The sequence below is a fragment of the Homo sapiens genome, chromosome 3 (genome assembly GCF_000001405.40).
Source record: "Homo sapiens chromosome 3, GRCh38.p14 Primary Assembly".
Classification (NCBI taxonomy): domain Eukaryota; kingdom Metazoa; phylum Chordata; class Mammalia; order Primates; family Hominidae; genus Homo; species Homo sapiens.
The window spans coordinates 113,774,299-113,786,953 of NC_000003.12; the positions used below are offsets into that span (position 1 = coordinate 113,774,299).

At 37.4% G+C, this 12,655-nt stretch overlaps 1 protein-coding gene across 3 annotated transcripts in view; it reads left to right on the forward strand.

Moving 5' to 3' along the window:
* ATP6V1A (ATPase H+ transporting V1 subunit A) overlaps positions 1-12,655 on the forward strand; it is a 65,022-nt gene that overhangs the window by 27,264 nt on the left and 25,103 nt on the right. For all 3 annotated transcript variants that reach the window (XM_047448306.1, NM_001690.4, XM_047448305.1), the window contains 5 exons: positions 4,443-4,537; positions 6,752-6,880; positions 9,926-10,140; positions 10,398-10,535; positions 11,934-12,085. In XM_047448306.1, the coding sequence (XP_047304262.1) occupies positions 4,456-4,537; positions 6,752-6,880; positions 9,926-10,140; positions 10,398-10,535; positions 11,934-12,085 (716 nt within the window). In that variant the 5' untranslated portion in view covers positions 4,443-4,455. The remainder of the gene's footprint in view (positions 1-4,442; positions 4,538-6,751; positions 6,881-9,925; positions 10,141-10,397; positions 10,536-11,933; positions 12,086-12,655) is intronic.

Here is a 12,655-nt window from a genome sequence, read left to right on the forward strand (position 1 = left end):
ATGGACACTTTAGAAAAAAGGCAATCTTAGCTTATATTAATAGAATAAAATTAGTAGTCATCAGTATTACTTTTCTGTTAGGCATACTGTTAGATGCCTCACAAAAACCCCATTAGATTTTACAGATGAAACTGAGGCTCAAAAGGATGAAACAATTTGATTTGCCTAAGGACACAACTTATAAATTCAAAGTCTTCAAACCGTGGCATTTGTCTCTCAATAAAAGGAAGCATTTGCTGGGTGCGGTGGCTCACGCCTGTAATCCCAGCACTTTGGGATTACAGGTGGGCAGATCACTTGAGGTCAGGAGTTCAAGACCAGTCTGGCCAACATGGTGAAACCCTATCTCTACTAAAAATACAAAAATTAGCTGGGCATAGTGGCACACACTGTAGTCCCAGCTACTCAGGAGGCTGAGGCACAAGAATCGCTTGAACCTCAGAGGTGGAGGTTGCAGTGAGCCGAGATTGCACCACTGCACTCCAGCCTGGGTGACAGAGTGAGACCCTGTCTCAAAAAAAAAAGAAAAGAAAAAAAAAAAGCAGCATTCAGAATAGATGAAGTAGTACTCTTCAGTACTCACTCATACAGCATGTAGAACGTTTTTTTATTTGTACTATTTAAAAGAAATATTGACCTTGTGAAATACTTCTAGAAAAGGGTAGTCTCAGGAGTGAGGGATCTGAAAAGATTATACTTTGAGGGACAATGGAAGGCACTAAAGAGAATGTGCTTGGAGAGGAAACATACTTTGTGTGGCTATAGTAATTGGAAAAAATAGGGCCAAAGGATTGAAGTTAAGGGAAGTAGATTTAGGTTGGATGTGAGATAGTATTTCTAAAAACAGAATGGCTTTTTCCAAATTCAGGACCTATATTCAAATAGTGTAACTGATGACATTTTTGTAAGCGTATTACATTTCACAAGGAACTTTTTTTTTTTTTTTTTGAGATGGAGTTTTGTTTTTGTTGTCCCTGCTGGAATGCAGTGGTGCAGTCTTGGCTCACTGCAACCTCCTCCTCCCGGGTTCAAGCAATTCTCCTGCCTCAGCCTCCTGAGTAGCTGGAATTACAGGCGCCCACCACCACACCCAGCTAATTTTTGTATTTTTAGTAGAGACAGGGTTTTGCCGTGTTGGCTAGGCAAGTCTCGAACTTCTGACCTCAAGTGATTTGCCCACCTCGGCCCCCCCAAGTGCTGGAATTATGGGCATGAGCCACTGCACCCAGACACAAGGAACATTTAAGGAAATTTGTAATGCAATCGCAAGTCTGGTGGGTAGGTGGTAGCATTATTACTGTTTTTCAAATGCAGATATTAAGAGATTTTGATTTGTCCAAGATGTTCTGCAGCATGTTATTGGTAGGACCAGGATGTGATCCCAAGTCTGCTGACCCAAGATCTCATGCTGTTTCCACTTTAATAGGCAGATGACCATGTATCATGAATGCTATAGAGGAAATACCCATATGTGGGGAGGAACTTAGACTGTGTATGATTGTCAGTTTCTTCTCTGATTTTGAAAATCTTTGATTTTCTGAAGATTGAAATTTCACCTCATTCACTTGTTCACTACTTCTTTGAAGACTTTTCCCAACCTATTGTCCAATTAAATATGTTTGTCTTTAAATCTTCTTTCTGTTTTCCCCCGTATTATCTCATAGTTTCTAGAACGTCTTGTTCTGTCTCTTTAGATTCCAATGTTTTACAGTCCCATGCCTGCTCTTAATGGCTTCTTCTACTGTATTTTCAGGAAGCCAAAAATCCTAATAAATTTCTGCCAGGCGCGGTGGCTCATGTCTGTAATCCCAGCACTTTGGGAGGCCGAGGCAGGCAGATCACTTGAGCCCAGGAGTTTGAGGCCAATCTGGGCAACATGGTGAAACCCTGTCTCTACAATAAATGTAAAAATTAGCTGGATGTGGTGTCGTGTGCTTGTCATGCCAACTACTGGGTGGGGTGGGGACGGGGGCGGCTGAGGTGATCACTTGAGCCCAGGAGGTCAAGGCTGCAGTGAGCCGTGATCACGCCACTGCACTCCAGCCTGCGTGACAGCGAGAACTTGTCTCAAAAAAACAAAAACAAAAACTTACTTTACAGCTCCCTGTTCACTATATTTCATCCACATTGGTGTACACTTCTGCAAGTTGGAATCAGTTTCTCCTGTGCTCCCAAGGTGGTGTTTGCACCTCAATTGAGCATTTAAGTCATTTTGTTTTGCTATATAGCTATTTAAAGCTTCAAAAGCTCTGTAAACATATAATAAATGGAATTCCATTGACATTCAAGCCTTACGTATTTCCAGAGCTTCTTCGACTTATCCTGCCTCCCCTACTTTAATTCTGTTAAAGTAGTTGAACACCATTCTTCTCATAATAGTTCTCCCTCAATCTTCAGTGATTTCCTTGTGTTTATAGGATAAAGTCCACTTGTTATTTTGGCAGTCAGTTCAAGATCCACAAATCAGTCTTTACCCTTACATCCTTATTTCTCACTGCTGTTCTAATATAGTCTTTATACCAGTCAGGCTGGTCTGTTCACTATTCCTGAATGTTTTTCTCCATTCTTTTGTTATTGGCACCCCCGCTACCCTCTGCAGTGTCTTTGCTACCTTTCTTTTTCTACTGTGTGCAAATTCTACCTGACCTTCAAGGTATCTTCTCTAAACATTCTAATCTTTGAACTTTTAGTAAATAAGGGTATATTATTTGGTACTTTATCACTTATTGATCTATGACTCTTTGTGGTTAATTTTGGACATTATTTAGCTTTTCATGTGTACATGTATTTCATCTCCCTCATTAAATTGGTAATAGTTATTAAGGTAGATCAGCAGTCACAAATAAACTTTCTCCTTTGGCATCTGTTACCAGTTTTCAATGTGAACTTGGATAGTTCCTGTTTTTTAAATTGTATATCAATAAACAAAGAGGTTGAAATGAATTTCTTAAACTATTCTGTGTGTTCCACTAAAAGAAAAAAGGAAAAACACTCATAGTTAAAATTTAAAGATAGGTAATAAATAAATACTTTTAAAGAGTAAAATATATCATTTGTTACATTGTGAAAAGTGCTATGGTATAAAATAGGGAAGGAGGAAGGATGTTGCAGTTTTAAATAAATGGACAGAGAAGCCTCATGGAGAAGGTGATGTTTGAGTAAAGATCTGAAGGAGTGCTGAACATGGTGGCTCACACCTGTAATCCCAACACTTCAGGAGGCCAAGGCCAGAGAATCACTTGAGTCCAGGAGTTTAAGACCGGCCTAGGCAAAATACTGAGATCCTGTCTTCACAGAAAATAAAATTAGCCAGGTGTGGTAGGACACACCTGTGGTCCCAGGTACTAGGGAGGATGAGGTGGGAGGATCTCTTGAGCCCAGGAAGTTGAGTTGGCTGTGAGCCATGATCACACCATTACACTCCTGCCAAATCGACGGAGACAGACTGTGTTAGAAAAAAAGACCTGAAGGAGGTGTAGGAGCAGATACCTTGGAGAATAACATTCTAAGCAGAGGGAACAACCTGTACAAAGGCCCTGAGGTAGAATGTGCTTGTGTTTTTGAGAGCTGACAAAGAGTTCAGTGTGTATCTGCAGCATGATTAAGTGAAAGAGTAGCTGGATAAGTCAGAGAGGTCATTGAGGATGGGCTTGTTGTGGGGGTGGATAAGTTATTGAAAAGACTTCACATTTTTTGTTATAGTTATCGATATTTCCTATGAAATACCTCACATAGAGATATAATTCAGTTGTGATAAAACCATCCAGCATCCAGGAATAGGGTACTTTTAACTACATTTTAGGAATTTTGGCTGGGTTCAGTGGCTGGCTCACGTCTGTAGTCCCAGCACTTTGGGAGGCTGAGGTGGGTGGATCACTTGAGGTCAGGAGTTTGAGACCAGCCTGGCCAACGTGGCAAAACCCTGTCTCTACTAAAAATACAAAGATTAGCCAGGTATGGTCACGTGCACCTGTAATTCCAGCTACCCTGGAGGGTGAGGCACAGGAATTGCTTGAACTCGGGAGGCAGAGGTTGCAGTGAGCAGAGATCCTTCCACTGCACTCCAGCCTGGGTGGTGGAGTTAGACTCTGTCTCAAAAAAACAAACAAACAAACAAACAAAAAACTAGTTGGGCATGGTGGTACACACCTGTAGTCATAGCTACTTGGGAGGCTGAGGCAGGAGGATCGCTAGAGTCCAGGAGTCTGAGGCTGCAGTGAGCTATGACTGTACCACCACACTCCAGCCTGGGTGACAGAGAGCCTCTTAAAAATTTTTTTTAAATTAAGAAAAGGAATTTTTTTATTCTACTTTGAAGAAGTATAATAACTCAAGAATACACCAAAGATGAGAGTGGTCTCATCTTAGTGGACTACCTATATTTTGGGTCTTTTGCTTTACGGTTTATAATTATAACTTATTTATTTATTTATTTACTATAGGTAAACTAACATTATGGATTTTTCCAAGCTACCCAAAATACTCGATGAAGATAAAGAAAGCACATTTGGTTATGTGCATGGGGTCTCAGGACCTGGTAAGTAATACATCATAATCTCAAAATAAGGATATCTAACTTTGATTAATGTCTTTTCAAAATATTTTACATAGAAATATACAACTTTCTGTTTACCTGCATAAATTCTGTTTGTCCTTAGGCGATCTCATAGTGACTATAAGACCGAAGTAGAATCTCTGTCATAAGGGCTCATCTAGCATTGATTATCTAAATTTTATAATTATTGAGGTACTACTTTGTGATATCCTGTTTATAATTATGTAAATGTTCAACCAGTGTTCAGTTTTATATGTCTTAATTTTTTGTTAAATTTGAGGTAAATAAACTATGAAGTTTATAGCTTTTAATATGTAATACCTTGCATATAGCAGGCATTCAGTAAATGTTAATTTGCTTTGAACTTTAATAATTCAAACGCTCAGAGCATTTCTCAGCAATATTAGCTTTTGCCCTTTGCATTTATGAAACTTTTTGAATGGTTATTTTAAGTGTCACATTATTAACTACCTGTGGGAAAGAAGTCTTAGGACCCAAACTTTATGTCCATTCTGCCAAAACATGGAGTGCTGCTTTTTAAATAATAAATCTTACGCCAGTATTTGTTTTGTTATTGAATACTCCCACTACACAATGTGATTCACAGTCACAGTTTCTCTAAGTAAAACCTGGTCAGTGATGTATTATCCTTAAAACCTCATGCTATATAGTCTTTTTCTTGTTCTAGTTAGAGTAGTGGTGATGACAGTTTTTTGATGTTTACGCAAATGAAGACTGTCAGTCACTGTGCCTCTTTTTTCTCCCCCAAGAACTTGGTGTTTGAGCTTGATTTCATTGGCAGGTCATTAAAAGGTTATCAGTATCTTTTGCCATGCAGAGAAATAATTGTCCTCTCAATGATCATAAGGGTCTTCAGGATGGACAGACTAAACCCAAGAACCTTTAGAGAAAAGGCAAAAGAACATCAGAGAGTTTAGGAAAAAATATTCTGTGAAACTGTGTAGTAAACTGCTCCTGGAAACAATTTTTATTTTATTTTAAAAATTTTTTTAAATTTTACTTTAAGTTCTGGGATACATGTGCAGAAAGTGTAGGTGTGTTACATAGGTATACATGTGCCATGGTGGCTTGCTGCACCTATCAACCTGTTACCTAGGTTTTAAGCCCCACGTGCGTTAGGTATTTGTCCTAATGCTCTCCCTCCCCTTGCCTCCTGCAATTTTTAATTCTTAAGTACTTAATAAGGTAATGGAACAATGGCATCCTTTTTTGGCTTATGAAATATGATTTTTAAATTTCATTATCTCTGGTATTTCAGTGCATCTTAATTCTTAAGTAGTCGGCATAGAGGTAAATATTTATAGAATGAATAAGTCTTCATTGTTTTTACACAGGTTAATTAACTCATAAAGCTTTAATAGTTTCCACTGAAGTATTACCTATAACATAGTTCTAATCAGTTGTATCAGAAGGCTAAATATTAAAAATTGGTTTATTCTTACACGTGTCTAAAAATATGGCAACCTTCCTTCCCTGCTAGAAAAGTAATTTTTGCTTACTAGACCACATGGTCCAAAATAGTAAGTTCAGTAAATGGAATTCCATTGACAATTTCTTACCCAATGGTGGTGACTGATTATAAATATCCTTACGGCCTATGAAAAAAATTTTGTAGATGTGTGTGTGAGTTTTTCTAGTAGAGCTATTATTAGTTTTTGAAAAGGGTCCATGTCCCAGAAGAGTTTTAAGAACTACTGCTATAAGTTATTAGAAAGTAAACATGTTGCTTTAGGTCTGTCTCTCAAAGGAAATGGTAACAGCACAGCGAAGTGATAATTGTGTGGCATTCTACCATACTACTAGCCAAACCATTTATTCCAATTTCTACTTTTAAAAGTTTTTTTTATTGTTCCAAAGCCTTCACTCCATGTATCATAGCAACTCTCAGAACATACCTGAATCCTACCAGGTAAGTTTGCCATGCAGAACTTGAAATGTTTGAAAAGTTTTCATGTATATTATGTAAATAAATAATCTTTGGCTTACCTCTTTATATTATACACTAAAATATATATCTATGTGAAACTACCAGTATGTTCCATAGTAGGTTTTTATCCTTCTTATGAATATATGAGAGAGGCACAATACTGGGTTTATTGGGTGTTTTAATTATTTGTGACTATTCACAGAGCACTAGAGTCTTAAGTCATCAAAATAGTCTTTTGTTCTCTTCAGTGGTTACAGCCTGTGACATGGCGGGTGCAGCCATGTATGAGCTGGTGAGAGTGGGCCACAGCGAATTGGTTGGAGAGATTATTCGATTGGAGGGTGACATGGCTACTATTCAGGTGTATGAAGAAACTTGTATCCTTTTTGGCTCAATTTCCTGCCACTTTCTATATTTCAAAATTTAAGGATTTAGGCCAGGCATAGTGCCTCACACAAAGTAATCCCAGCACTTTGGGAGGCAGGCAGGTGGATCACCTGAGGTCAGGAATTTGAGACCAGCCTGGCCAACATGGTGAAACTCCATCTCTAATAAAAATACAAAAATCAGCTGGGTATAGTGGCAGGCGCCTGTAATCCCAGCCGCTTGGGAGGCTGAGGCAGGGGAATCGCTTGCACCCTGGAGGTGGGAGGTTGCAGTGAGCAGAGATCGCACCACTGCACTCCAGCCTGGGCAACAGAGTGAGACTCCATCTCAGAAAAGAAAAAAAAAATTGAGGATTTAAGCCAAAGGTGGAAGCAGCAAAGCAGCAACAACTAATGATATTAGAAGCATGAAATGCTGGTGTTGTGAAGAGACCTGAATTATGCAGGAGTATGTTAAAGAAAGAGAGAAAAGTACTATGAATTGGTACTCTTATTTTAAGAAATTAGTATCTTCTGAACTTTCATTGCTCTTACTGCTTCAGTAATTCATGAACTTAAGGGGGACCAAGTGAATTTTTTCTTCATTGGGACGCATATTGTAGAAGAAAGCGTAAACAGAATAACAATATTGACTTGTGAGGTTAAAATTCTCTAATTATGATTTCAGTTTAAAATAGTAAGTCCACAAATAAAACGGTCACCATTCTTTTGATAGCACTGAGTGACATATTACATTTCAGTTTTATTACTAGGAAAGCTTTACTATTTGGTTATCATAATTTTGGCTTTTAAACATAGTATTTATTTTCAATTTTCTATGAAAAATAAAGGGTTAAGCCTAGTGAAGAAGAACCACTTTTTTAGTGCTTCTATATGTGTTTTACTTTGATTCTCAAAATCAGCATTAATTCTTTGAGTATTTAATCAAGATTTATTTGGTACGACGTTTTTGCCATTCTAAAACACATGCGTGCAGATAACTAGTCTCTTTATAGTACTAGGTGCCAATTTAAAACAAAATCATCTAGAAATTTTAAATAAAAATAGAAGTTTTTGTAGCTATGAAATTGTGACTAATCAGAAATATTTTTTCTATTTTTACTTTTATCTTTTAATCTGTTTAATCTTTTTCATGGCTTGAAGATTTAAAATAAATGAAAATGTAAACAGTGACAACCCTCCTTGCCTTTGTTGTCTTGTATCTAGCCGTTTATCAAAACACATACACACCTCCATGCACACATGGAACCACATTTATAGCTCCCTTTATTTTATATCCTTCTAGTTTAGTAATTACATACATGAGCAAATACAAATATTTGTATTTTTCTTTCCTTTCTCTCTCTCTCTCTCTCTATATATATATATACATGTGTATATATATACGTATATATATACACATATATATATATATACATATATATATGGTTTTTTTGTTTGTTTGTTTGCTTTTTGAGACAGAGTCTCACTCTGTCGCCCAGGCTGGAGTGCAGTAGCATGATCTCGGCTTACTGCAACCTCCGCCTCCCAGGTTTGAGCAATTCTCTGCCTCAGCCTCCCAAGTAGCTGGGATTACAGGCACGTGCCAGCATGCCCGGCTAATTTTTTGTATTTTTAGTAGAGATGGGGTTTCACCATCTTGGCCAGGCTGGTCTTGAACTCCTGACCTCACGATCCACCTGCCCCGGCCTCCCAAGATAGCATATTTTAGGTACTGTTATACACCTTGCTTTTTTTCACTTAAAAGTATGTGTATTCTAGAAGATAAATAGATATGTGATAAATATAGTAAAATGTTAAATATAGAACCTAGCTTGTAGAGACTGGGAGTCCACTGTAAAATTCTTTCAACTTTGTTGTTGTTCTGAAAATTTTCATAATCAAAATTGGAAATGAAAATACATAGTTTAGAGAGATTTCTAGAGGAATTCATGATAACTCTGGTTCTTTTTTTTACAGCCATATAACAATTCCATCATATAAATGTACCATTATTTACTTATCAATGTCTTAATGATAGAAGTTTTGGTTTCTAGTTTTTGGTTGTTATAAACAGTGCTACATTGTAAGTATAGTAAGAATTCACAGAAGTTGGATTCCTAGGTCACGACTTACCCATTTTGAATTTTGATAAATATTGCTAAATTGCTCTCAGGAAAAGTTGTACTGATTTTACTCCTGTCAACAAATGTGTAGAATAAAGTGGACTCATTATGCTTATTTATATATTTTATTCTTATTTGTATGTTTTCAAAATAACTTTATTCTTAAGATTTTAGGTTTTGTCCAAGTACTAATACCCTTATTAGGGGACTGATATTCCTCAGCAGCATATGTGAAGCAATGTATTAATGAGGGAGTTTTGCTTCTGTTTTTAGCCCTGTGGTTCCCAAACTTTGCAGAGTCATTCTGAGAAGCTGCAGCAAACTCATGTGGTGCCAGGATATTTAAAATTTTTGAGGCAAACACAGGAATGTTAGACATATTGTCAGACACCACATGAACTAGTAGCTTGAGATAATAAACAGTTTCATTATGTTGCTGTACTATATTTTTGTCAATGATGTCATATCTTTGCAAAGCTGAGTTTTTGGCAGTTGCTAAGCTACAAAAGCAGGTATCATGTGACAATCAAAATGGAACAAGTTTCCAATCTGATTGCAAGATTGGAAAATTATATAGTTCCCCAAGGGCATATACATTCATGAGAATTATGGATATTTAGGACTGAAATTAATATTATTTTTTCTTTCAACTTATGCATATATTTTTTCAAATTGCTACTCAGTTGTTAGGACGTATATACATATTAGGTTGTTTAGACATAACTGTTTAATAAATGCAAGTGTTAGATATATCTTTTGTCCTGGGACACTGAAAGAAGTTACTGAAAACACTATGAATCCTGTGAACTGAGAAAGTTTGGGAACTTCCGTTTTCACTTCTTGAGTGGCATTTCCTTGTTAAACTGTGGTATTTCCTGTTAATTGTGTCTTTAAACCTTCATAGTAGGTTTTCCTTAGCTGCTGTTTTTAGCTGGTGTGTCTGTTGGAGATCCTGTACTTCGCACTGGTAAACCCCTCTCTGTAGAGCTTGGTCCTGGCATTATGGGAGCCATTTTTGATGGTATTCAAAGACCTTTGTCGGATATCAGCAGTCAGACCCAAAGCATCTACATCCCCAGAGGAGTAAACGTGTCTGCTCTTAGCAGAGATATCAAATGGGACTTTACACCTTGCAAAAACCTACGGGTATGTCTGTGTAACCAAGAATTTCTGAAGTTATTGAAAGAATATAAAATGAATGTTTAGTAAACTACATTGTACTCTTAGTCCAAATAAAAATAGACTACAGAAGGATAGTTTAAAGTTTTTCTTAACTCTACTTCATGGGATTTTAGAACTAATGTTTTATTGATAAGTCAGGTAATTGATTTAAATTATAGCAGCAGGGGCAAGTCTACTTGACATTTATTTGCAAATTAAACAGCAAATACATTTATCTCTAGGTTGGTAGTCATATCACTGGCGGAGACATTTATGGAATTGTCAGTGAGAACTCGCTTATCAAACACAAAATCATGTTACCCCCACGAAACAGAGGAACTGTAACTTACATTGCTCCACCTGGGAATTATGATACCTCTGTAAGTATCATTTGAACTTTATCCTGCAGAGTGCCTCTATTTCTATATGATAGCTGCCCAGTTTTAGTGCCCTAAGTAATTAAAGAATTGATATTTAATACATAAGTTTTGAGTAACTCCTATAATTTTTGAAAGTTTTTGTTTGTTTATTTTTAACTTGGATTTAGGGATGAAAAAGCAGAACATAGTATTTCTTTTTAAAGAAATGTAACAGTTTTCTACCATATTAACTGATGCTACATTTATTTAAAGCCCTAGTTGTTTAGGCATAGAATAGACTTTGATTTTAATGGTGTATCAATATTCACATAGTAATTATATAATGGGACCGGGCATGTAGGCTCACGCCTGTAATCCCAACACTTTGGGAGGGCGAGATGGGCAGAGCACAAGGTCAGGAGATCGAGACCAGCCTGACCAACATGGTGAAACCCTGTCTCTACTAAAAATACAAAAATTAGCCAGGCGTGGTGGCGCACGCCTGTAATCCCAGCTAGTTGAAAGGCTGAGGCAGGAGAATCGCCTGAACCTAGGAGGCGGAGGTTGCAGTGAGCTGAGATCGTGCCATTGCACTCCAGCCTGGGTGACAGAGCGAGACTCCATCTCAAAAAAATAAAAATAATTAGTATTATTATTATATAATGGATTATTTGAATTCTCTTTTTTTCTTTTCTTTTTTTTTTTTTTTTTTTTGAGACAGGGTCTTGCTGTGTTGCCCAGACTGGAGTGCAGTGGTGCAATCATAGCTCACTGTAGCCTCAACCTGCTGGGCTCAAGCAGTTCTATCACCTCAGCCTCCCAAGTACCTGGGACCACGGGCACATGCCACCATGCCCAGTTAATTTTTTTTTTTTGAGATGGACTCTTGCTCTGTCACCAGGCTAGAGTGCAGTGGCGCGATCTCGGCTCACTGCATCCTCTGCCTCCTGGGTTCAAGCGATTCTCCTGCCTCAGCCTTTCAAGTAGCTGGGATTACAGGCCTTTACTTATATTTAACTATTTCTTTGTTGCTTAATATACTTCTTTCTTTCTTTTTTTTTTTTTTTTTGTTTTAGGAGATGGGGTGTCACTATGTTGCCTGGGGTGCTGGAACTACTGGGCTTAAGCAATCCTCCTGCCTCAGTTTTCTGAGAAGCTGGGATTACAGTCACAAGTCTGATATACTCCTTTCTAACTCAGAAATTTTGTTTGTAATTATTAAAAAAGTAATAAATGCACCAGGTTAAAAAAAAAAAAAAGCTAAGACTATATATAATTAATTATAATAAAAAGTATAAATCTCCCTTTGCACTTACATGTATCACCTTCCTAACCCCAAGGAGAATCGGGTTACTTTGATTTTGAAGGAAGAAATGTTCACAAATTTGACCATACTAAAATCCTACTGTATTTCTATAGGATGTTGTCTTGGAGCTTGAATTTGAAGGTGTAAAGGAGAAGTTCACCATGGTGCAAGTATGGCCTGTACGTCAAGTTCGACCTGTCACTGAGAAGCTGCCAGCCAATCATCCTCTGTTGACTGGCCAGAGAGTCCTTGATGCCCTTTTTCCGTAAGTTTGAGATGTGTCCCACGATTTTCCCTCAGAGTTATTATATGTGCTTATGTTTTTATTATCTTTATAGATAAAGGGCTTATGTGTTTAACACTATAATACATTTTATCTAGAGTAATAATGGTGAATTAAATATTTTTATCTATTGCTAGCACTTATTATAAATTCAAACCATTGAAGATTTACTTTTTTCATGGTTGCCCCCAGAAAGCATTATTTCTGAAACTTTTCTGGAAAAATTAAATTTGCTGAAGAAAATCTGTACCAAAACATTTACTTTTTTCATGGTTGCCCACAGAAAGCATTATTTCTGAAACTTTTCTGGAAAAATTAAATTTTCTGAAGAAAATCTGTACCAAAACAATGTAACTCTGTTTCTTCTTCTTCTTCTTTTTTTTTTTTTTAATTGAGACAGGATCTCACTCTGTCGCCCAGGCTAGAGTGCAGTGGCATGATCTCAGCTCACTGCAACCTCTGCCTCCCAGCTCAAGCAATCCTCCTCCTGCCTCACCCTCCTGAGTAGCTGGGACCACAGGCATGCACCACCACACCTGGCTAATTTTTTGT